Source organism: Homo sapiens, chromosome 20, assembly GCF_000001405.40.
Source record: "Homo sapiens chromosome 20, GRCh38.p14 Primary Assembly".
Lineage (NCBI taxonomy): Eukaryota > Metazoa > Chordata > Mammalia > Primates > Hominidae > Homo > Homo sapiens.
In genome coordinates, this window is record NC_000020.11 from 14,625,361 (window position 1) to 14,651,080 (window position 25,720).

The 25,720-nt window shown below is 37.1% G+C and overlaps 1 protein-coding gene and 1 long non-coding RNA gene across 4 annotated transcripts in view; both read left to right on the plus strand.

Moving 5' to 3' along the window:
* The window catches only part of MACROD2-IT1 (MACROD2 intronic transcript 1), a 74,525-nt gene extending 70,977 nt beyond the window's left edge, over positions 1 to 3,548 (plus strand). Inside the window, exons 4-5 of the long non-coding RNA NR_104193.2 lie at positions 1,704 to 1,746; positions 3,277 to 3,548. This is a non-coding gene — a long non-coding RNA (MACROD2 intronic transcript 1). The remainder of the gene's footprint in view (positions 1 to 1,703; positions 1,747 to 3,276) is intronic.
* Positions 1 to 25,720, plus strand: part of MACROD2 (mono-ADP ribosylhydrolase 2) — a 2,057,682-nt gene that overhangs the window by 629,845 nt on the left and 1,402,117 nt on the right. The window lies entirely within an intron of this gene.

Genomic DNA, 25,720 nt, shown 5'->3' on the forward strand with positions numbered 1-25,720 from the left:
TGAGGGGGTATAGGAAGTGGTATATAGATGGACCTATTGAATGGTCATGAAGTGTGAAGATCTTTGTAGTATGTATCTGTTAATGCCTGTCAGAGGGCAATCACCACCGAAAAAGCTCTAAAAATAAAATAGAGAAAATGACCGTAGTCATTGGCCACTCCAATGCTGACACAATGATTGCATGAATGGAGTAGACATGGTGAAAAAGACAGAGTCCATGAATGGGCCATATGGCATGTATTCCCACTCAACAATATTGACCTGGCCACTGCTGTTGCCAAATGCCTAATCTGACAGCAGCAGAGACCAACACTGAGCCTCCAATATGGCACCATCTCTTTGTGAGAGGAGCCAGCTAGTTGTCAATGAATATCATCAGCCCCCAGGTATGACTTTGCCTTTCCTAACTTCTGAAGCTCAGCTGGCATCACTGTTTGAGGGCTTTAGAGTTTCTGGGTTTTTTTTGTTGTTGTTGTTTTTCAGATGGAGTCTCACTCTATCGCCCAGGCTGGAGTGCAATGGTGCAATCTCAGCTCATTGCAACCTCCAACTCTTGGGTTCAAGCGGTTCTCCTGCCTCAACCTGCTGAGTAGCTGGGATTACAGGCATGCACCATGATGCCCGGCTAATTTTTTTGGTATTTTTAGTAGACACAGGGTTTCACCTTGTTGATTAGGCTGGTCTCAAACTTGTGACCTCGTGATCTGCCCGCCTCAGCCTCCCAAAGTGCTGGGATTACAGGCGTGAGCCACTGTACCTGACCAAGTTTCTGTTCTATCAACATTGTGTATATATTACATTGCTTTAGATCAAGGGGCACACTTTACAGCAAGGGTAGTTGTGGGGGTGGGCACATTACATTGGATGCTATCACATATCATACTTCCTAGAAGCTGTCAGCCTGAGAAACCCATGGCACGGCCTTTTGAAGGTGAGGTAGTAGTTTGGCATGGCATCTGCAAGGAACCAGCTTGGAGATGATACCTGTGGGGTTGGGGTGCCATCTTTCAGATATAGTATATAGCCTAAAATAATGACTATTTTACAGTGCTGTATTCCCAGTACTACAATCAATAGGTCCAGGAACCAACAGAAAAGGAACAGGAGTGTCCCTGCTTACCACCTCTCCTAGTCACCCTTTAGGGACATTTTTTGCTTTCCACTTTTAGATATTTGGGCTATGTTTACCTAGAATTCCTGGTTCTAACACAGGGAATGCTGCCACAAGAAGGCGTGGTAAGATTTCCATCAAACTTGAAGTTGCAGCTGCTCCCTGCTTACTTCAGGTTCCTCATACCCAGAGACCAGCAGGCAAGGAAAACAATAATCCATACTGGCAAGGGTAACGTATCCTCAGGAGGAAGTATGGCCATTGTCGCACAATGGGAGAAAGGAAAAAAATATTTTTGGCACCCAGCTGATCCACTTAGGTCTCACTTAGTACCCCCTATTCAAACGGACAAGTGTGGGCAGCTGTGACCTAAGACAGGTGTGGTGATTAGGGACTCAGTCCCCTTCTAGACGAGGGTCTGTGTTATATACCAGCAAACAACCTGGACTGGAAGAGATGCTAGCCAAAGATAAGAAGAATTGGCAAGGGATAGTAGAGGATGGAGACAATGAATATCAGCTGTGACCTTGAGACCACCTGTGTTGGGAGCTATAGTTTGTCCCACTAACTTTCCTCTTGTAAATTTCTACAGGAGAAGAGATAGACTAGAATCCTCGAGGACCTGCTCCCAGAGAGTGAGAATTTACTAACTTACTATATGAACTAGGTGGATCTGAGTGGCCTGAGGAGTGAACTAAAATGCGTGCTGTATGTACCACCTCGATATCCCCTACAGAAATGAGACATCCAATCCTTCAGTTGCTAGTAGTGTTGCCTGATGATGATTCAAAACTAATTCTCTCAATGGGAATTGGCCTCTTCTCAAAGTAGCTGTCTCACCAAGGCCATGGTTCCTCCCTGGCAGTAACCTGCATCTAATGACTGGGCGATGTAGGAGCACAGAAGCCCAGCCCTACTGCCTTGATGAGCCCATTGTGAAGGGTCATCTCAGGTTCAGAGGTCCCATTAGGATCAACTGAGGTCTCTGTTGTAAGTGCCTTGTAGTTCACCTTCTCCTTCAGTTCAATCCCGTTTCTCTCACTACTTTACAGGCATTGTTCCTGGGAATACTCCTCAATAAACTTCCTGCATAACAAATCTCTGCCTCAGAGCCTGTTTGGAGGGGAGGAAAACTTAGAACTTTGTCCCCAACATCAAAATACAATTTAATTTAAAAACATTTCAGTGAAGTTAATATGTTTTCTGAATTAGTGCACCCAAAAACATTTCCAAGCACCCCCTTTGTGTGTTTTGATTCTTACAATCTATGTCCTTTATTCATTCTATTTATTGAACAATTAAAGAGTGCTTCTCATATATGAGGCAGTGTGCCAGGCATTCTGGATTCAATGACAAAAAATGCACTCAGAAAATTCATTCTGGATTCAATGACAAAAAATCCTGACCTTAAGGACCTGATGGACAAAAGGGAAAAGCAGATAAATTAATAGACAGTTAAAATACACTATAATTAATAGAACATAATGTGGGAATGCAGACATGGGATAACTAATTTAGCTTGTTGAGCAGAGCAACACAGAGAAAAATTTGTAAGGTTTCCCAAAAGCACTATCTGATCTGAACCTTTAAGATAAGTAGGAAATAGGTAGGTAAGGAATGGAATATGTTCAGAGTGGGAAGCAGTGTGAGGTAAAAAGAGAACAGGTTTGGAGAAAAGAAAACACTTCTTTAGGATCAGACCAAGGAGTGTGGCAGATATTAGTGTGAGGTGCAGAGAGCTGTTGGCATCTGTGGAGTAACTTCAGGCAGGGGAGTGATATAGTCAGCTTTTCATTTTGGATTTATTACTGTAGTCTAGTGGATGTAGAGAGAATGGATTAGAGAGGAGACCAGTTAGGAGTTCCTTGCATCAATCTAGCTGAGAAACGATGGCTGGAAATCATGTAGTAGCAGAGGACATGAAAAAAATAAAATAATGGAATCCTGAGATTTGAAGGAATTTGAACTAATAAATGTGGGTGATGGACTGGATGTGGAAATGTAGAGTGGTTGAAGATACCCTGTTTGGATTAGGAGGTAGAAATGCTATTCTCTGAAATATGTGGTGAGGGTGAAGGTAATGGTGGTAAGTGTGTTTGTATGTAGGGAGAGTATTGCAGGAAGGCTGAGATATGATGACTTTTAATTTTCTATTTCTATTTCAGACATTTGGAGATGTCCTAAGACAATTGGCTATGTGGATAGGGAGATCTGGTTTAGGGACCATATCATACAGACAGTAGAAGCCATGGATGATCTCATTCCAGGAGCACATATACAGTGGGAAGAGAATGAAGCTGAAGACAATTCCAGCTCCAAAGATAGTGACAAGAGCTGTTCATCTTCATCATCCTCTCTGTAGGCATCTTGAATTAGAAGATACTATTTAGTGTGGTCTCTTACCCAAGATAAATAATCTAAGTTTCCGTAATCTTTCCTCATTGTTCTAATTGTGAATTTCTTTGGAACTTTGGTGATGTTTTCTATGTTCCCATTTAGTTCTGAGTACCAGAATTAGACACATTATATTTATTATTATCTTTGACAAAAATAGTGCTAAAAAAGCCTTCCTAATATGCCATATGCATCACGGCCGTAGGAAAATAGGCGTACCACTTGTCACTTCCCTAAAACAGGTGCTCCCAAAGGCAATTCCTGCATGTCCTAGAGGACTTTTGTGTGTGTGTGTGTGTGGTCTGTGTGTGTGTATTTTTAACTGCCGTTTTTGAACCAATGTAACATGATAGAACATGTATTAGGATGTAATTGGTTCCAGGTTAGTTAAGTAAGAAATGCATTTAATTCTTTCTCACCCCTTGAAGAATATTTCTACTTCTCCATTAAATAAATCAGATTTTAAACAAAAATGGAATAATCCCTCAAATGTAATTCAAAATACAACACACAGTCTCTTGATTTGTGAGAATTAGCTATTGTACTTCTTCTTTTGAAAATAACCCTTTAAACATTAAAATCAACAGATGACAGCTTTAGTAATCTGAGACAATTTCATGAATTGCAATATTTACTTATTTGGGAGGATGTTAAATGCTTTTAAAAATTCTTTGTACCTGATGTGAATATATAATAAATGTGTAGAGTATTTCAGTTGCATGTAATGATTGTGAAGCTGTAGGAAAGGTGGCTTTCCCAAGTCTTGAGTGACTGATTCCATCTTTTCTTCCCTGACTCCTTCTCTCCAAGTCTTCTAAAGGTATAACATCTGCACAGATGCAGGGAAGGACTGCACTACAAAGATGTGCTGTCAATGAGCTTTGCAGACTGGTTCTTTTCCCTCTAGCCAAGCCTTTTTTCTTTTTATCCTAAAGAACCCTGGTCTCTTTTTATTTCCTGGTCAATCTTAATTTTTCTAATTTTCAACTCAAAAACACTGAGATTTATCTCCATTTCTCTGTCTTAAAGAGAAATATACACAAAGCAGTCAGAGCATTAGCTAACTCAGATCCTATTATGTGCTAAGGTCTATCTATCTATCTATCTATCTATCTATCTATCTATCTATCTATCCATCCCCTTTTAAGATTCACGACAACCCCATGAATTGGTACTATTATTATCTTCTCTTAAACAGAGGCAAAGGAAAGCTAAGTAACTTGTCTGAGATTTCCTGGCTGTAAAGTGGCAGGACCAGGCTTACAGTCTCCACAGTTTGGCTTTTGAGCCAACCCTCTTAACCATCCTGTTACCCTGCCTTTCAACAGTGTAAAACAACAGGAGCAATTTTGGTGTGCTGCGGAATGTAATTGGGGGATCTGGGTCAGAATGGAGAAAAAGCAAGAGAAATTTTTCATAGGCAGCCAAGAATAAAAGAGCCTAAGAGCATCTACACCGATTTCTATAACTTAGGCTGTAAGAGAAGTAGGAAAAGCATTTTGTTTTTCTGCTTAAACTTGTTGCACAGTAGAGGAAGATAATTTTAACTAAACTTGTTTGAGGCTTTAAGAAGTAGGCCTCAGAGACTCAAAAATCAAAGTGAAGTGAAGTAAAATTAGCAATTGTTTTCTAAAAATTCATGTAACTCTTAGCAATGATTTAGGCTTTCCAAACAACGTAAATTATATATGCAGATTACTTCTAATTATAATGCCTTTCCTTCTAGATTATTGAACACTTACACAATAGGATTTTAATTGATTCTCACCAGCCTGCATCTCTAGTGTTTGATTAAAAATATGCCCATTGTCAAGAAAATAAATTCATTTAGGCATTTATAAGCATTTGTAGAAGATAGGTGAACAAAATTTAAATTAAAAAAATATAGTTATCTACATTTGAAAGAGTTCCTTATTATTTAATCCCTTTTGAAATATGCTTAGAATATCCTTTCAAGGAGATGATCTACAGATCTTTATTTGAATCTAACACTTTTAAACATTTTCCCTGATGTACAGATTCTTGAGTTTTGTTTTTGTTTTTGTTTTACATTTTGCCACTCAACAAGAACATAATTCACTTACAGAATTATTTTTGTGTGTCTGTAACAGCTGTGATTTTCCACCTTACTAAGCAGTTTGGAATTTATCAGTACATTTCTATTTGTCTTATTTTTTAAATTTTTAATATTTTTTAAAAGAATATATGGAATCGTTAAATGAAATTTACAAGAGTTCATTGCTTTGGACTGAGTTCCAGCACTAGGCCCAACAGACCAGACAAAACCAGAATGGAATCGCTGTGCCACATAATCAAACTGAACTTTGAAACAAGCCAGTTTTTCAAAAGAGGAGATTTACAGCAACCAATCAGAAGGGGCCCAGTTTACCTGAGCTGGCATGATAAGGAAGTCGTCTCTGTTTTAATTCCATAAGGAAAGTAACTTTGAAACAACCACTTCTCTTTTGTTCACGGTTTCTGCTTTTTCTTAGCCCTTTTCTGCCTATAAAGCCATACTCCTGATCAGTTCATTAGAACACTCATTCTGTTTTCTGGAATGAGATGTTGCCCGACTTTAGAATTCAATAAAAGCCTATTGGATCTTTAAATTTAAGAAAAACCGGGCCGGGCACGGTGGCTTACGCCTGTAATCCCAGCACTTTGGGAGGCCGAGGTGGGCAGATCACAAGGTCAGGAGATTGAGACCATCCTGGCTAACACCGTGAAACCCCGTCTCTACTAAAAATGAAAATAAAAAAATTAGCCAGGCATGGTGGCGGGCGCCTGTAGTCCCAGCTACTCAGGAGGCTGAGGCAGGAGAATGGCGTGAACCCAGGAGCGGAGGTTGCAGTGAGCCGAGATTGCGCCACTACACTCCAGCCTGGGCGACAGAGCGAGACTCCATCTCAAAAAAGAAAAAGAAAAAGAAAAACCAATTATATCTTTAAATTTGTTGTAATTTTGTCTTTTGACAGGATCTTTATGAAGTTACATGCCATTGACAATCTTTGCTGTGTTGTTGTAACTTCAGGTATGCTACTGCAATGAGCATGCCAGTTGGACTCTTAGACAATGGCCATCTGAGTAAGAAAAAATTTCAGTTGTTTTAAAAAATAAGTGTGGTATTCATTTTGTAATTTATTAAAATAACATTTGAATTTTCAAACTAGCTATTCCCTGAGATTCAGAAGTCTTTTTGCCTGCTTTTTTTTTTTAAGATGAAGTAATCTGGCTATAAGGAATATTGATTATATTAGTCTAAGGACACTTACAGAGAAAGTAAGCTTACTGTAGTGTGAATGATGCTTCTCTTTCTATTAAGGGTGGTCATTCTAAATATGACTGCATAAGGAATAATTCTGGCAAAAATCAGTCCTTCATTTTCTCTTAAGATATTTAGAATTTAATTTAAATATTATATGTCAAGGTTAAAAGTTAGAAACATGTAAGGAAATATTTAAGAACTTACAATATGAAAACCTGTTTTCTTTATGGAACTCTTTGGTTATATGATTGGATAGGTAAAAACAAATTTGTAAAATATGGTAGATATGGGAAATTGTCAATATATTTGTAATTCATGCAGCAAACATAATATTTAGGAAGTATGTTATTCTGTTTTCTTAAGTACATAATGATAAGGGTTCTTTTCTCCACCAAGCCCCTTTTCTACATTTGTGGTTTTCATTTTTGCTGTTTTTATGTTATTATTGATAGTATCTCAATACCAACCTGCTATTGTTAATTTGTGACATTCCTTATTTAGTCTGGAAAGTGGAAGGTAGTAGATAGTTAAAAGTTTTTGGTGTCTGATACAGAGATGTTTATTTAAAAGTATAGTAAACAAAATTAAATAAATTGAGATGTTTTTGAAACATGGCTTCTCTAACTCCGAAGAACTTTGTGACAAAAAATGATCTCTTATGATAATATTTTAATGTAAAATACAAGAAATTCTTTGAATTAAAAAACATTGTCTTGATTATCACCATTTAGGCATATATTGAAAGTTCTCATTTAAGTGGTAGAAATTATTTGAAATAGTGTTAGTTTCCTGTGGCTGCTGTAACAAACCACCACAAACCTGGTGATGTGAAACAACTGAAATTTTTTCTCTCACTGTTCTGGAGGTCAGAAGTCTGAAATCAGTGTCGCGGTGTGGAAGTCCAGATGTGGGGGAGCTCTGCTGCGTTCCCGCAGAGGCCCTGGAGAGGAACCTTTCTCTTTCCTCTTCCTGCCAGTAGTGGCCACTCGCCTTCTTTGGCCTGTGGTTGCATCACTCCAGTCTCTGCCTCTGTGGTCACGTTGCCTTCCCCTTATTTGTCTGGGTTGAATTTCCCCATGTGTCTTTTTTATAAAGACATTTGTGATTCATTTTAAGCCCATCTGGATAATCTAGAATAATTTCCCCATCTCAGAATTCTTAATCTCATTTGCTAAGACCCTTTTTCCACAGACGGTAACATTTACAGGTTGCAGGGGTATCTTTGGGGGCCATCATTCAGCCTACTCTGGTAATCTTTATTCATATTTAATCTTCTTCAAAGGAAATTGAAGCCAATGAGAAAAGCAGTTTCACTCAACTACTCTGAGTTGGTGATAAATAAAAAATCCCTATTTCTCCAACTGGTGTTGCATGTAAAGTTACCTGCTATATATTGCCACCTGGATGGGCTGCCTTCGCATGAACTAAATTCAAATAAACTTAAAAAAACCAAATTCATCATCTTTTTTCCTGAGGTAGCAACTCCTCTTGGCTCCGAATTCTCCTTTTAGAGTCACCATCATCCCAGTTATCGAGGCTTCCCTTGGCAGTCATCTCTGACTCTCGCTTCCTTCTCTCCCACATCCTGTCCTTAAACGACCTCCCTCTTGAGTTTTCACATACTTAAAACATCACCAGACACATAAGTCCATTGAAACCACCTCAGGCCTTTTTAATTTAAAGACTGGGGTATCATCATAGCCTCCTAACTGGCCACCTCATGTTAGTATTCCCCTATGGCATTCTCTCTTATAGCCACTGGGTTAATATTCCTGAAACACTACCATGGCCATCTAATTTTCCTGCATAGACATATTGTTTGGCTCCTTATTTCATCTGAAGTTAAATATAAACTCAGCCTGGCCTTGATTTATTTTGTAGCGTTATTTCTGATGCTCTCCTCACCTGACACTTTGGGTCCAGGAGCATTGCTCTCTTCACAGCCCCCTGGGCGTGCCATTTCCCACAACCCGCCACACCCCCACTTCTGACATGCCTTTTCCCACCTTGCCTTTCAAAAGTCTACTCACCTTTCAAGATCCATCTGAGATGTGGCCTGAAGTAGGACATTTCCCTCTCTCATTTCTAAGTAATGTCTGCCACATTACCAGCTTGAGTTACACTTTTCCATAAGCTTGTCATCCCTTTGGAGGATGGACACTGAATGAGCAAAGATGATGCCTTGTCCATTGTTAAATTTCTTCAGTGTTTTGCACAGAGTAAGCATTTAATAAGCATTTCTCAAATGAATTTTGTAAAGGCCACCACTGGAAGTAATTTGCTGTTTTCACATCGATTTGTATATTCCTCCTTTCCATGTGCTTCTTTGATCACATATTATTCATAAACCTTGTGACTGTTTTTCATGCCTAACATTTGGTCACAATTTTGGCTTTTTCCTTCTTATCCCTCCCCCCGCCCAACTGGAGTTTAATTTATTTTCCTATATGGTCCTGTCAGCAGAACTGTTCAGAGAATTTGGGCAAATCAGGACTTCCTGAGAGAGTTTTACTTGAATTGCCTGTAAGTCTGTAAATGTTGTGGGGCATAGAATGATAGGAAAGACCTCTGGTTTTCAATGCTGAAGGCTTTTTATTGTTAAGATATCCAAAATAGGCATAGCATGTTTAAAAGTAAAAACCCTGGACCTGCTCTCTCTCTTTCATCTGAAATTATGTGTTTGCCAGAGTATAATAGCTCTAGACAGGAAGTTATGCCCTCAGGGCATAATTCTTGCAAGGGAGAGAATAAAAAGTTTAGACTCATGTCACATCCTGAATCTCAATCCCTTCATGTCTGGGCAATCTGCAGGGAGAACTTTTGTTCTAGTCTTCTTTGCCAGAGAGAACTCTGGGGTTAGCATTTTAGTCCACAGTCCCCTGATGAATATTTATTGAGTGCAGAGTGCAATGAGGATATGGAGGTGAAGGTGGTGTGGCCTGTGTCTTCAAGGAGCGGTGTCCCTATAGTTGTCAGAAAGAAACTCCAGGAAAATCCTAAAGAGGGAGTTTAAAATTGCAGATATCACAGTTATACAATCAGTGTTGAATTATTTCCGTTTTCCTCATGATCAGAGGCCCCTGGAGAGGCACTCTGGCATTGTCCTAGTATTACTATCCTGTGGCTATTTCAATTATTGCTTGACTTCTTCCCAATGCTTTCACTCATCTTGTCATGGTTTGGGCTAGAGGTTCCTTCACTACACCCACTAGCAAAGGTGACAAAGCCAGATTTGTACCTAGAAAAGTCACTAAAATGCTCCATTTTCCAACTTTCCAAAAAGCAGCAATACTGATCATACTCATAAGTAAATAAAGCTCATTGATATTGAATTATCTCTACCCAAAAAGAATGTCCATCACAATAGTGTTCATAAATGAGAGGCCCTTCTTTGCAATACAAAGGTAAAAAATGCAACATAAAATTGTATATTGTGCTGGCAATTAATTTTTACTTATTAATACATTATAACAGTTACTTTCTGCCTGATGTATTTGTCATTTACAAAGACACAAGACCTTATTTCCATATTTCAGTCAGTGCTTTATTTTGATCAATACTGTATTCATGTATGTAACTCTCATATCATACTCTTGAGTTATGTTGAAGTTTTAAACAACTATTAGACAAATAATGAATGTTACATGTTGGGTACAAGCATCCTTTGAAAAATCAAGAAGATAAAAGCAAAGCCAAGAGTATATGATTCATTTTAATGTAATACTGGGATAAAAATGTGAGGATGTGATGTCAAATGGTAATAAATGCTGAGTTTTCCCAATGATATGAGACAAATTTGACAGAATACAAAATTTTAGGAACATGTTTATAAACTAAATTAGTCTAATGTTCAATGGGAAAAGTGGAATTTGATTTATTTATGTTTTGCTTTACTGCATTTATTAATTTTTAAATACCACACAATTTATTTTCAAGGTTTATTTATCTTCATGTTTACTTGATGTAATTCTATTGCTCATTATATTGCACAGAGCTTGTCACCTATAAGAATAAGAGTTCTATGAAAATGGATCATTTTAATGTGATAATGAATGGAATAGGAGTTTAGCTTCATTTCATTTTTCATGATAGAATTTGTTTCGGAAGTTCCTATCCTCCATATCAATGTCACGCCCAAATATTTCTGGCTTAATAGGAACTTCTGAAACAAATTCTATCGAGAAAAATGAAATGAAGTTAAATTCCTATTCCACTCTCTGACCCCCGTCTCTCCTCTGTCTTCCTCCTGGCCTCTTGCCTCCCCGCCCTTCTCCCTCCTTCCCTCTCTTCTTTCTTTCACCGGAGGGCACTACAGCATTTAAGCTTACACCCCTGATTGAGGACCGTCCCTTTCTTAGGGACTCCAGAAGAAACACCTGCAATGTTGAGACACGAAAGGCAAGAGTGATCCTGGAAAGCCAAATGGGTGCCTGTAGAAGAGGAAATGATGCACAGGGATTTTGCTTTGATTCATCACCAGGTTGACTAGGTGACCAGGCTTCTTACCATTCATGTGATCTGCACCTGTGATCAAAAGCCTTCTTTATATTCTGTGAGAATAAAAGAGGATGGCCACAAAATATTCTATAATCTTCTCAGTGTATTGTACTTCATATCTACAACAATATTTTGAGCACCTACTAATATAAGGGACTGTGCCTTGTATCCAAGATAGAAAAAATAAAATAGCTCCTGCTCTATTTGGGGAAGAAGGTCAAAATCAGGGTAAGGGAATCCAGAGGAAGCAAAAACTGATACTGACGGAGTCTGTTTAAGTAAAGGCACTGAATTGTGGAAAGGTAAAACACATATGAAGACTGGAATTCAAATAAGAAGGTCTCCCAAAAGCTGAAATGCAGAATAATGATGGTAGATAAAAATAATCTCTGACCTGAGATGGTTTTTCATACTCTACAAACAAGATGGGATTTGTTAATAGAATACACCTACTGAAAAATGAGACTGGAGGGAGCTGGTGGGAGGAAGGAATGGCCTGAGAGAACAGGTGGGGGAAGAATAGAGATTCAGAAAGATTCCATCAAACACTTTTGCAGCTGCCGTTCTATACTGGTTTGAAGTCCTAGTTTGCCTTGATTTACATGTGTCTAACAGTTGACTCTACTGGTATATGTGTCTCCAGCTTTAAGAAGAAGAAAAAATCCACTCTAATGACGGATATTAGTTGCCACTTAAAGATGCTCTTCAGATACTAGTGTTCCAGTTAACCATTAAAGATATATAACCCCTGTACAAGTTGGCAACCATACCAGGTCATTGATTTATTATCATTAAACTGCCTAACTAGTAGTTATGTTGAGATGAATGCTGGGTAAAATATTACAATGAATGCTAAATGAAAAATACATCTCAGGCTTGTAAGCTCCCACCTTGTGTAGTATTTCTGTGTTCCCTGACACCCTGAAGCCTAATCGTGCCTTCTGTATAGTTTTACATGTGTAGACTCTCTTCTTCGTTACGATTTGCCAATCCCCTGTTGCTCACATTGTACTACAGCAATAATCTTTGTCATTTTTGAATTGGTGTCCAGGTGGTTGCTGTCACATTACATCCATTTTTAAATGTTGCTCAAACCCACTGAGGTGACATGCAGTTTTCCAACAGTGTGAATTTTTTTTTTCCAAATTTTTTCTCTTCGATGGAAGAAAAATTTGCTGTCTTCTTTGACAGCTGGACAAGTAGAGATTGCAATCTCCTTTCCCTCTCAGTATTCTCTGGCAACATCATGAATAAGCAACATTTTAGATGGTTGACTTCCAAAAAATGTTTCTTGTCAAGCTCCTGTCAGGATTTTGGAAGTCAGGGAACAACTTTTTTCCAGTTGTGATTTTCTATAATTTCATTTCTGAAGTCTGAATTATGATTTTTTTTTCTTTCTGGGTTTTTTTTTCTGTAGTAAAAGGCAGGATGGGAAGAAAAAGTAGCTCAGTTCCTTTTTGTGTTGATGTAGAGGGTGGTACATCATTGGAAATCTATAATGGGATTTTCTAAACTGGTAGTTTAATTATTGTTATATTTTAAGTTGAATTATCTCTATCATGAGCCAATGTCTAAATAACCTTACAGTAATCATTTTTATGGTATCAGATGATTTTTTAAAATATTATTACATTTCATACTTACAAAAGATACTGGGAAATACATTAGACATTTCAGAATTTCTCTCAGTTATGACTATGAGAATGAAAAGAAAGTCTTTTAAACAGTCCTGGGATTTTTTTTTTCTGCTGCTATCTAGTCTACTTCAAGTTGTAATTTTCAGTGGTTCTTGTTGGTAACCCCAATTTAGGCCACTCTAGAGATAGGCCTCGACAGGATTATATATAGAGAGAGAGCTCAGCTTAGTCGTTGAGAGCATGGACTCAGAAGATGGGCCAGCCCTAAACCTGATTCTGCCAGGATTCATGTGACCTTGAATAAATTTCTTACCCTCTCATTTGCTCAGTTTCCTCATCTGTATAATGAGGATAATAAAAATCATATTTACTCCATGAGGTTGTTGTAAGAATTAACTGAGTGAGGCTGGGTGTGGTGGCTCACACCTGTAATCCCAACACTTTGTGAGGCCATGGCGGGAGGATCACGAGATCAGGAGATCGAGACCATCCTGGCTAACATGGTGAAATCCCATCTTTACTAAAAATACAAAAAGTTAGCCAGGGGTGGTGGCATGTGCCTGTAGTCCTAGCTACTCGGGAGGCTGAGGCAGGAGAATCACTTGAACCCAAGAGGTGGAGGTTGCAGTGAGCCAAGATCGTGCCACAGCACCCCAGCCTGGGCGACAGAGCAAGACTATGTCTCAAAAAAAAAAAAAAAAGAAAGAATTAAATGAGTGAATATGTGTTAATCTCTTAGGTTAGTAGCACATAGTAGGCATTGTGATGGTAAAATAATACATACATACCTAATTTATATCCAGCCTCACATTTTGGTACTGGGAAACTGGATATCTTGTTCAACAGTGGTATTCATAGTTTAATCTCGGCAGCAACAAAGTGCCCTGGGGTTCCTGACTGAGGTAGAAGAATTTATAAGTGTAAGCTGTTTCCATTTTAGTGTAGTCTAAGGTAACCCTCTCCTTTCTTTTTTTCCTGTTATGAGTAAGCTTAATTTTTTTTAATATATAGAGTTTACCTTTAAAGAAGTTAACACATCATTAAGATCTAGGTACCTTCTTCAACTCTCCCCATTCACTCATTCCATTTCAATTTCATGTACTCCAATCAACTTTGGTATGTTTTGAAATGTTATTATTATTTATCCAACTTTAGAAGGTTCTGGTAGAGTTAGTTCCTGAGGCTAGGGAAATTCTTTTAATTAATAATCTTTCTGTTAATCACCCCATAATCTCCATCAGCTCTCCAATCCACCCTGTCTGTGGCCAGACAGGACTGTGGTTTAGTTCAATTGCCGTCAGGATACACATACGCAATTCAGTGAGAATTTTGCCACCATTTTTCCTCTTTCAGAAGTTGATTACAGAATAGCCATCATTCAATGAAAGTCTACAGGCTTCTCTAATTCTCTTGCAGTTCACAGTCCTTTAGCCAACAGCAACTCTACACCATCAAAAGTAGGATTTACTGAGGTATCACTTAAATTCCCCCTTGATTTAAGTTCTTAAGTTTCAGGACCACTTAAGTATTATGAATGACAAATCAACACTCACATAGTATTGCAGAAGTATAGCTTGAGTAAGTCTAATGGGGAACACTTTTTTTACAAGCTCAGGGTAGGGGATATTTTTTGTCACTCCCTCAAGCAAGCGAACTACACCAGTAGAATTATAAATCGTTCTCAACTCTCCCTCCCTTTCTTTTTGTTCCACCTCCAGACCATAGTAGGGGTTTAAAATTTTTGGTGTTGTTGTTTACTTTTTTGGTACTTCGGGGTTACCTGTGGACCCCTTTCCAGAATATTTTACAGGCATACGATAAAGTGCAAAAACTTACTTAGGAAATCAGTTTTATGGAAATATACTGATCACGATTTTGAAAAATGTGAAGACTAATTTATGTGCTTTTATTTTAACACATTAAATAACAACAGCTAACAACAGGTCAAAAAATCACTGCAATTCCCAAGTACTGATGGGTATAAGTGAAATATTGAGATTTCTATAGCAACTGGAATCTAATAGGAAAATAACTGTGATTTCTGCTGTTGACATAGTCACAAGTTTTCCTGAAACTACTTTGCTTTTTTCCCTCATTCACAAGTGAAGGAAATGGGAAGATTCACTCAGAGATTAGTGAAAAGGATATTTTTTTTTCTAAGTTCATGAACCCTAAGTCCCTGAGGATGCAGACATATATACATCTAGTTTTCTATCCCTGAGGAGCTTTATAGTCTACTGGGAGAGACAGGTGGCAAGGTCAAAGAGTGCTGAGAAGTGGGGCCACTATCACCCCATAATCTTCATCAGCCCTTCAATCTACCCCAAATTATCTAATACAGGCACACTTCAGAGATAGTGTGGGTTTGGTTCCAGACCACTGAAATAAAGTAAACAGCAATAAAGTAAGTTATGCAATTTTTTTGGTTTCCCAGCGCATATGGAATTTATGTTTATATTCTACTATAGTCTATTAGGTGTATAATAGCATTATGTCTAGAAATACAATGTAAATACCTTAATTTAAAAATATTACTTAAAAAATGCTAGCAATCATCTGAGCCTTCAACAAGTTGTAATCTTTGCAGGTGGAGGCTCTTGCCTCAGTGTTGATGGCTGCTGAATGATCAGGGTGGTGGTTGCTGAATGCTGGGATGGATGTGGCAATTTCTTAAAATAAGAAAACAAGTTTGACACATGGATTGACTCTTCCTTTTATGAAAGATTTATCTGTAGCATGCAATGTTGTTTCATAGCATTTTACTCACAGTAGAACTTCTTTCAAAATTTGTATCAGTCCTCTCAAACCCTGCCACTGCTTTGTCAACTAAGTTTATGTAATATTCTAAATCCTTTTTTGTCATTTCAACATTGTTCATAGCATCTTCACCAGGTATAGTTTCCATCTCAAGAAACTATTTTCTTTACTCATCCATAAGAAGCAACTCTTCATTGGCTCAAGTTTTATCACAAGATTGCAGTGATTCAGTCACGTATTTAGGCTCCACATCTTCAGGCTCCAGTTATCTTGCTGTTTCCACCACATCTGCAGACTTCCTCCACTGAAGTGTTTGAAGCTGTCAAAGTCATCTGTAAGGGCTGAAATCAACTTATTCCAAACTTATGTTCCTGTTGATGTTTGAATTTTCTTCCATGAATCACAAATGTTCCTAATGATATTTAGAATGGTAAATCCTTTCCAGAAGGTTTTCAGTGTCCTTTGCCCAGATCCATTGGAGTAATCACTATCTATGTCAGCTATGGGCTTACAAAATGTATTTTTTAAATAATAAGACTTGAAAGTCAAAATTGCTCCTTGATTGATGGGCTACAGAATGGATGTTATGTTAGCATGCAAGAAAACAACATTAACGTCTTTGTACATCTTCATCAGAGCTCTTGGGTGACTGAATGCATTGTAAATGAGCAGTAATGTTTTGAAAAAAATCTTTTTTTCTGAGCAGTAGGTCTCAACAATGGGCTTAAAATATTCATTAAACCATGCTGTAAGCAGATATGCTGTCATCCAGACTTTGTTGCTCCATTTATAAAGCACAGTTAGAGTAGATTTAACATAGTTCTTAAGGAACCAAGGATTTTTGGAATGCTCAGTGGGCACTGGCTTCAATTTAAAATCATCAGCTGCATTAGCCCATAACAAGAGAGTCAGCCTGTTCTCTGAAGCCTTGAAGCCAGGCATTGACTTCTTCCCTCTACCTATGAAAGTCCTAGATGGTATCTTCTTCCAATAGAAGGCTGTTTTGTCTAGATTGAAAATCTGTTAGTTAGCGTAGACACTTTTATTAATTGTTTTAGCTAGATCTTCTGGATAACTTGCTGCATCAGCACTCGCTGCTTCACTTTTTACTTTTGTGTTATGGAGACAGCTTCTTTCCTTAATCCTCATGAACCAACCTCTGCTAGCTTCCAACTTTTCTCTTCCAGCTTCCTCACCATTCTCAGACTTCATAGAATAGAAGAGAGTTAGGGTCTTGCTCTGGATTAGGCTTTGGCTTAAATGAATGTTGTGGCAGGTTTGATCTTCTATCCAGACCACTCACACTTTCTCCGTATCAGCAGTAAAGGGCTGTTTCAGTTTCTTATCATTCGTGTGTTCACTGGAGTAGCACTTATAATTTCCTTCAGGAACTTTTCCTTCGCATTCACATCATGGGTAACTATTTGGTGCAAGAGGCCTAGCTTTTGGCCTCTCTCAGCTTTTGATGTGCCTTTCTCACTAGGCTTAATTATTTCTAACTTTTCATGTAAAGTGAGAGATATGCAACTCCTCCTTTCACTTGAACAACTAGAGGCCATTATATAGTTATTAAGTGGCCTAATTTCAATATTGTTGTGTCTCAGCCAATCGAAAAGCCCAAGGAGAGGAAGAGAGATGGGCAATTGCTGGTTGGTGGAGCAGTGAGAACACACAATATTTATCAATTATGTTCTCCTTTTTTTATGGGCTTTATTGGTGGTGCCCAAAACAATTGCAATAGTAACATCAAAGATCACTGATCAGAGATCACTATAACAGATACAATAATAATGATAAAGTTAGAAATATTGCAAAAATTACCAAAATTGTGACACAGAGACACAAAGTAAGCATATACTGTTGGAAAAAGTGGTGCTGATAGTCTTGCTCAACACATGGTTGCCACAAACCTTCAGTTTGTAAAAAAAATGCAGTATCCGTGGAGCACAGTAAAGTAAGCTATGCCTGTATTTAAAAAAATAAAATAAAAAATAGAATAAAATCTTAGGTTGAATATTAATAAAATAATGTTTAGAAAACATTAGTATTTTTACTGTTGCATAACAAAATATCCAAATAAAACTTACATGTTTTATATGTGAATGCCACTTTACATAATTCCCTTAGCTCTGCTTTCAAAGTACTGTTGCTGCCCAATGTCATATCCCCCTCCATCCATTTTTCTATATGGAAATTCTGGAGCCCCCACTGGGTTTTAAAACAAAAAATAGGTTAAAAGTTAATTGCAGTCTCTTAACATTATTATTATGTCAGTGCAATGCTGAGAACTTGTTGGTTGAGTGATGGTGGCAGCTGTTACACAGTGGTCATATGGCAGATTGTAACCCTGAGGCCTATCCACAATTCAAAGCTCATGTCATTGCCAGCTAGTGTGATAACTCATACCTGGCATTTTTGTTTACTAGTGCAAATGGCACTGACATTTTGTGAAAACATTGTAAAAAGTTTGATTCATTTGGTCTATTTGAAATTAAGACAGGCTTGATGAGCTCTAGGAGCATTCACAAATTTAAATTTATAAATAGAGATGTTAAAGTATTTTATATTACTTTGTGTCATACCATTCATAATGTACTCTTCCTTAAAAGAAAGAGGAAAAGAAAGGAGATATTAAGTTAAGTGTGTTAATAGGTTATACCAGTGTTTGCATGTTAGATAGTCATGTGGTTTAGCTTGTTACTTGGCATATGTGGCCCCGATTGTCACATGACAAGGCACCTGTGGTGACTGTCCTTTGTTCACAGCTGCAGCCTCAGCTCATGCCACAGTACCTGAAACCTGGTATTTTATAAAGATTTGTTGAATGAATGTATGGGTAGGTAAATGAATGGATAGTTGGATGCCTGGGTGTGTGGATGGATAGAATTTTTTTTAAAAAACCCAAAACTTCCTTAAGCTGTAGTTAGTCATCTATAACATGGAAATAATAATACGTAACTGATAAGATTATTATGTGAATTAAAAACAATAATGTATATAAAGTACTTAGCTTGCATATAAGTGGGAAATAAATTGTAGCATTAATAAAAATATATAATTCTGGTTCTATTAAATAACTAAATATTTTTTGCCAATAATTAAAACTGACTGCTTTTGTGAGTCTAAGAAACAGCAGTGAACTTGGATTACAGTTTTATATTCTTTGCGTCTAGAAAGTGATGTTTCATCACAAGGCAAGGGCTTTCTTCTCATGACAAAGAGCCTGATGTAGCTGCTTAATAACTGTTAGTAACACTGAAAGGATCTACAGTAAATCTGTTAGAAAGCTGTGATCAAAAATGTGAGTGCCAATCTTCAAAAGCCCATTTCAAAGCTTGTTTGCTATAATACTATGTAGTGGTTTATTTGCCTTTCTTTGTAACTCATTAAATTAAAAATTTGGATCCATCCTCATGGGGTTTTCAGAAATGGTTTTATAATTTAGCATTCCAATGACACTTCTTATTTGCAGATTATTATATACTAGTTTTTTTGTCCCACTGTCTCACCCCAGTGTAGATTATTAAGTCCATATCATTGCAATTTGCCAAAACTCTCTGGATAAATGTCTATGAGAGCCAAGGCTCCATTTTACTTGTTTATCGAATATGGAATTAATGAACTATCTTGAAACAATGTTTATAACTAATGTTTATATGACAGAAAATTGGTGCTGATCGTAGTGTACATATGCAAACTAATGCTATTTTGTTCCCCTTGCCTGAACTCTGGCTACACAGGCAGAATTATATTGCTGTTGTGTTCAAACTTCAAATACAATAGTAACTCCAGATGCCATTTTTGTGTTCTTGTGAACTTGGAGTGGGTAACCAAAAGCAAACAACAAAAACAAACAAAATTGGGACAGGTGAGAGGCAGTGGCATGGAAGGGAGTGTAGGCAGGAAACAAATAATATGATGACTACAGGATACTACATTCTGATGAAGACTTTACACTTATGGATTGAACAACTGTTAGAAAAAGATCAAACATATTATTTGCACAGGGGTAATGATTATTTTAGAATTACTTCCTGTCAGTGATAAATAGCTTTATTTAAGCAAAATCCAACCTCTTGAAATTGTTCTCCCCTTCAGTGTTATTTTTGTCATTATTTTTTCTTCACTTAAATTACATATAACTGTAAAGCTCTTTGAAAAAGTATATTATCTAAATGCATCTATTTAAATTGAATGGGTATTAAATTTATTAAACATATTTACAAAATATAAGTAAGACATGAATTTAATATGAGTCTGTTGAATTTTTCATTGTAGTTGAATGAATGAATAATATATTCTAGTCAGCCTTTTCATTTTCTGGTGCTTCTTTTTAGCACCCATAGACTTTCATATATTGTAAACATTTTCTTCTCTATATCTAGTTTTAGAAAATAAAATGTTGGGAACACAGAATTGACTTCTGGAGACTGGGAAGTATATAACTAAAGTAATATGTGTTTGCTTTTTCTAATTTAATTTTGATTGTGGTGTGCTTAATTTATAATCTTTTAAAATGTTTTAATTTTACTCAAATAGATCTGTACATACTTTTTATACTCAATTAACATAATTATTTAGCTATCATACTTCCGTGTGTAAGATTTCTAGAGCATCGCCATAATGTAGCACTTTGGTTTGCAGGAGAGAAATTTTCATGGTACATTATTTACTTGCATTCAAGTGAAAATATTGTTAATATTGGTTGCATTTGAAGGATTCTTTCAAAAGTACGTGGTGCTCAAGATGGATTTAAATGGAACATGCAAGAGACAGTAATAACAGAGAGATCACATTCTCTCTGTAATTTATTTTAATGCCATTACACAGGGAATTCAAGGCAGATAAAAAACTCCATTTACAGAAACCAAATGTGCAGAAATGGATTGTCATAATTCCAGATGAAATCAATAATACATACTCCCTGGCATATTTTTTATTAGAAATAACTTGGAAAAATTTATATTTTCTACTAAGTAAATATATAAGTTATAAGAAATAACTTATATATTAAATAAATAAGTTATAAGAAATACCATATATTAAATAAATAAGTTATAAGAAATAACTTGGAAAAATTTATATTTTATACTAAGTAAATATACAATCATAGCCTTAAGATCTTTTGCAGCATTACTTTCCCCTTGATGAATTACAATGCAATTTTCTAGCCTACTCATTTTATTAAGGAAGCTAATGACTGGAGCAAAAGTCTAATCAGCTGCCAATCAGGATTCCTTGAAGTGCAGAGTGTCAAATATTGAAGCAATTTTTACAACTCATAAAAGCACTTATGTTCCATGGTATGTCATAAAACTTGTGATGAAAATCTAGCATTGATGAAGCTACCTTATTTCTCAAGTGTTTTTCCCCAAACAAACAGCTTTCAAATTTCACCAAATCTTTCATTAATATTCAAGTCTATTAATATAGCACTATTATGTTATCTGTTATAGTATTATATTATCCAACTATAGCAAGATAATTAGTTATATATAAACGTCAGTCAGAGAACTTAGTGGATTCATCATAAAAGCTGTAATGGTGGAATTTTTTTTTCCATAGTAAAAAAATTGGTCTTTCTTCTGATAATGTTAGAGTGGGTTTTTGTTTTTATGTTACAGAAACAATGAGGCTGCACACTTTGCTTTCACCCTTTGCATCATTATGTTTGCATTGTTTATTTTTAACATAATGGTACATTGTTTCATGAAAAGTAACCATATTTCAAATCATTAATTCACTTGTCATTTATCATTTTAATACCAGAAAGTAGTTACCTTCCTGTGTTTGAAGGTACTGTATAATTGTATTTCTTTACCATGTCGACTTCCTGTCTCTTAAAACGCAGCAATTACGTGTGTGTTTGTGTGTTTCTTCATCTGCTTCATGCATATAAATATGTGCGGGTGTCTGGGGTTTTGTTGTTAGCTGAGAGGTGGGAAGTGTTTCCACACATCTGAATATTTGCTGCCGACCTTCTTGATGATCCGTCTGTTAATGTTTTTATCAAGCTGGCACACCTCATGTGGGATCTTAATAAAGTAATCAGCATTTTCCCTCTAAAACAAGTTTGAGAAAATCCTAGTTAAACTATTCTCTTCAACACTTGAAGGCCTTGGTTGTACAGCAAGCAGCTACTAATTCAGGAGGATTTATTTGGCTTTTCCTGAGTTCTCTGAAAAATCTATTTGTGTAAAAAGAACATACTGCATGATCCCCAGGGCTCCTGGAACTGAAAACTCAAGGATTTAGACGAAGCTACCCAGTTTGTTTAATCATTTGAAGTTTTGTTTCAGCAGCTCATGCTTTCCTCTTACATTTTGGCAGAGGCAGAAATCTCAGATGATTGTTTTTGGGTACACATGTAAAAATTTTCTCATTAACCTTGGGGGTGGTGTAATGATAAAAGAGATAACATTTTGTTTCAAAAAAATAATACTAACTGAGCACATATTTCAATGCATTGCAAATCTGAAGGAATTGTCATGGCTAACACCATCTCAGTCTCAGTATTTGTGCCCCAGTTTTTTTTCAGGTCAAGAATGTAGGGAAACACTGTACTAAGTTCTCATTGGATCCCTTGATGCCTCATAAGACACCCAGACCCCTAGCTCTCAATTTCATTTCTAAATGTACCCCAGCTACTAGAATCTCTCTCACAATGATGACAAACATCCTCTTTAATAGGACAGATAAATATTCCTGTCACTCTTGACTGAGAGACAATACTCCAGGTCTAGGGGACATGATCTGCAAGGAACTTCCCATGATTCAGGCACCACTATTCCTGTTCATTTTTTTTCCATTGTCCCGGGATTTACAGCTTTCAGGAGTACCTTCATGTTACTCTTCTCATAAGAGGGCAACACCATATTTTTCTCACTGAATCAGAAGACCCAACACCACCTCTTTCCCCAGAGCACTGCCATTTGCATCCTATCCAGCTAGGTAGGGCAAAAGTGTCTTTCATTAGACTAAGGACCTCCACAGGCAGTGCTTAATTTTCATTTACCTTTGCCTCCATAGTGCCTTATATGTAGTGCCTAAATACGGATGGTGGGTGACTGCTTAGAGTAATAATAGCTAATATTTTTGTGACATTAGAAATGGACACAGTGGTAATACAGGTCAGGATTATAACTCAAAATCTTGGCAATGTGATGTTTATTGGAACAAAGGAACCTAAAGATCAGAATGCTTTCTCTATGTAAGATGACTAGGCCTGTAAAGTAGAGTGGGTCACTATTCTACAGAAACACAGATATCAATATTTACATTACAAATAAGATATATTAGGCCATTCATACAATTTACAAAATGGTTCATTATAGGACTCACTAACTGAAAGTACCCAGGTGACATTGAACGTCCAGTTTATTTTCAATATAATCTTCCTGAAATCTCTGTATTAATTTGGAAAAAGTCAACAAAGTAAACCATTCTTAATGTAACAACTGGATTTAAACTAGGGAGGATCAAAATGTTTAGGTAACAGAAACTAGCAGTCCAATGTGGATCTTTCTACTTTCTCTCTTTTTGCCTTTGCCTTTGTCTACGTCTACTTTCTCTCCTTTGCCTCTTCTTTGTTTATTTAAACATATATATATATATATCTATCTATCTCACATACTCAGAGGTTTATTGCTTAGTTTTGTTTTTTATAAAAATGGAGTCATACTATACACACTACTCTGCAACTTATTTAAGAGTATACTATGAATATTCAGTTGGGTCTTATTAAAGATCTAACATCCTTTTTAATTGCTGCTTAATATTTTGTACTTTATACCATTATGTATTTAACCAAGAATGTCTTTATTAAATAATATAATCTTCACCTATGCCAGTTAATCTGTTATTCTTAGTGATTTAAGCTCCTTTCTCTCATCTGGAAAATACAGCAATAAATAGGTAAAATCCACAGTTTCTCCTTCAAGTGCTACGTGCAATAGGCCCATGAGGTAACCCCTGAAATTCATGTTTTCTTGGAAGTAATCAGCAGACCTGGAGTCCTGTGTATGTTTGTGAACTCCAGAGGTCCACACTCCTTCACTTCACACTCAGTGTCCTCCATACTTAGGGCTTCTACCCCCCTGCCCAGTTTTGTTAAAGAAATTACTCCTTGGGACATGGACAAAATAAAAGAAATAGCCATTTGTGTTTCTGTATCCAACACTTCTTTGTCCTGTCATGGGTTCAGTTAGTTCTACCATGAAGTATGGACTGTCTGGTAAGAGGAAAGAGTTTTAGAGATTAATGAGGGTAGCACTAGTGAAACTAGTCTCAAAGATGGCATAGTCAATTTCCTCAGATATAGACCAATACTGATATCTAAAAAGTTTATTCTTATGGGTAGGGATGTCTGGATGATAGCAATTTAAGTCTTCAAGGGAGAGCATCTCCGTTGCTTATAGGAACAATCATCTGGACTAAGTCATGACCACAGTTCTAACAGGGAAAGTAAGCAAGATCCAGCTCCCGAAGAGGAGTTTGCATTGGCTGCAAAGGGGATCCAAGACCTTAGCTCAGTGAGCCAAGCTTCAGGGAAGGACTGCAGTTCCCTTAGGGACATAGAATGCTAACAAAGAACTGGTTTTGGAGCTTGGTCATGGGGCTGGCCATACATGTTGGGGGCTGGCATGTTTATATGACAAGGTATTTAGGCTTTCCACACCTAAATATTCAGCTATATCTCTGTAAGTGCATAGATCCCTAAAGAGTTTGCCCTGGGTACATTGTGCTGGTTGTCAGATAAGAATACCGAGGCTAATACCAGGGCCCTCCCTTTGTTAGAACTCTACATCTAATAAACACCCAGGCTTGGTTCTCATTGAGTCACAGGCTGGGTGGGGCTGAGCCTACAGGTTGAATATTCTCAGTTCTTGACTCTGGATCCAGGTGGAGTATGCATAGACTGATAACAACTTGTTTTTGCAGTAAGTCTGAAGATTAAAGCCCTTAGTTGAGCCAATACCTTCCTTCTCAGATAAGTCAAATCCACATATTCAGAATGGGAGCAGGAGGCAGAAGGGAAAATTTTGTAACCTCTTAACAGTTCTAGACTTAACACATCCTACTATCAATCTGAGTGGATTTGTTCCAGATGCTTGCATGGCTGAGATATGCAAAAAACTGTCTCCCCATGCTGATTGGTAGCATCTTTACATGGGCAAGTCTTCCTACTTGTAAAGAATGAGTTAGGTGTGTCTGGGACTTACTAAGGAGTCTCAGGTGTTGACAGCTTAAACACCTTGCCATGTAAATATGTCTGATCTCTCTTCCAGTTCTTACACAGTTGGCTGTGGTTACTGACTTCTTATTTTGTTCAGGTCTAAATGAAATTGATCTTGATCTATTACTTTACCCTAGGCTGGAGAAACAACTTTAGTAATTATCTCCTCACCCCTACTTCCCTTTTGAGCTTTGTAAAAATGATTAAGGAGATCAGAATATATGGCATAAATTATCAATGGTTCTTCTCCATTGGAGGTTAGAGTTCCACTGTCAAAAATTAGTAATTATCATTCTTCTTACAAGTTTAAGACTCAAATGGAACTGACTTTTTCAGCCTATTTGTTGTCTATGGTAAACTAACAGCAAACAGCTGGATGTTCTTCTGTGGTTACATAACCTTAATGGAGATTAGTTCCTTTTATCCTTCTATACTGCTTCCCTACCAAATGATTAGATTTTTTGAGGGGCAGATATAAACCCCTTCCATTGTTTAAAAAACATTGTTAATAACCCTTCGCACTACACACCAAAGTGCAGCCTTTAATATAGTTGCCAGAAGCAGTTCTGAGTGAAACACTGAAATGAAAAGTAAACTCATGTCATTTGGTCTATGATAAGCATTCACAGTTTGAAAAACCCCAAACAGGGATAGTTAAGTTGCAAGCACTATTTCCAGAATGAGAGTTGAAAATTATATACATAATGTGGAAACAATAGATCAATGAAAGGGAGTATAGAACAAAAGAGAGAAGAATTTCCATAGCCACTCCATAGAATATTAGGTCTATAGAATGTCAAGAGGGGTTATGTCCAAAACAGGGT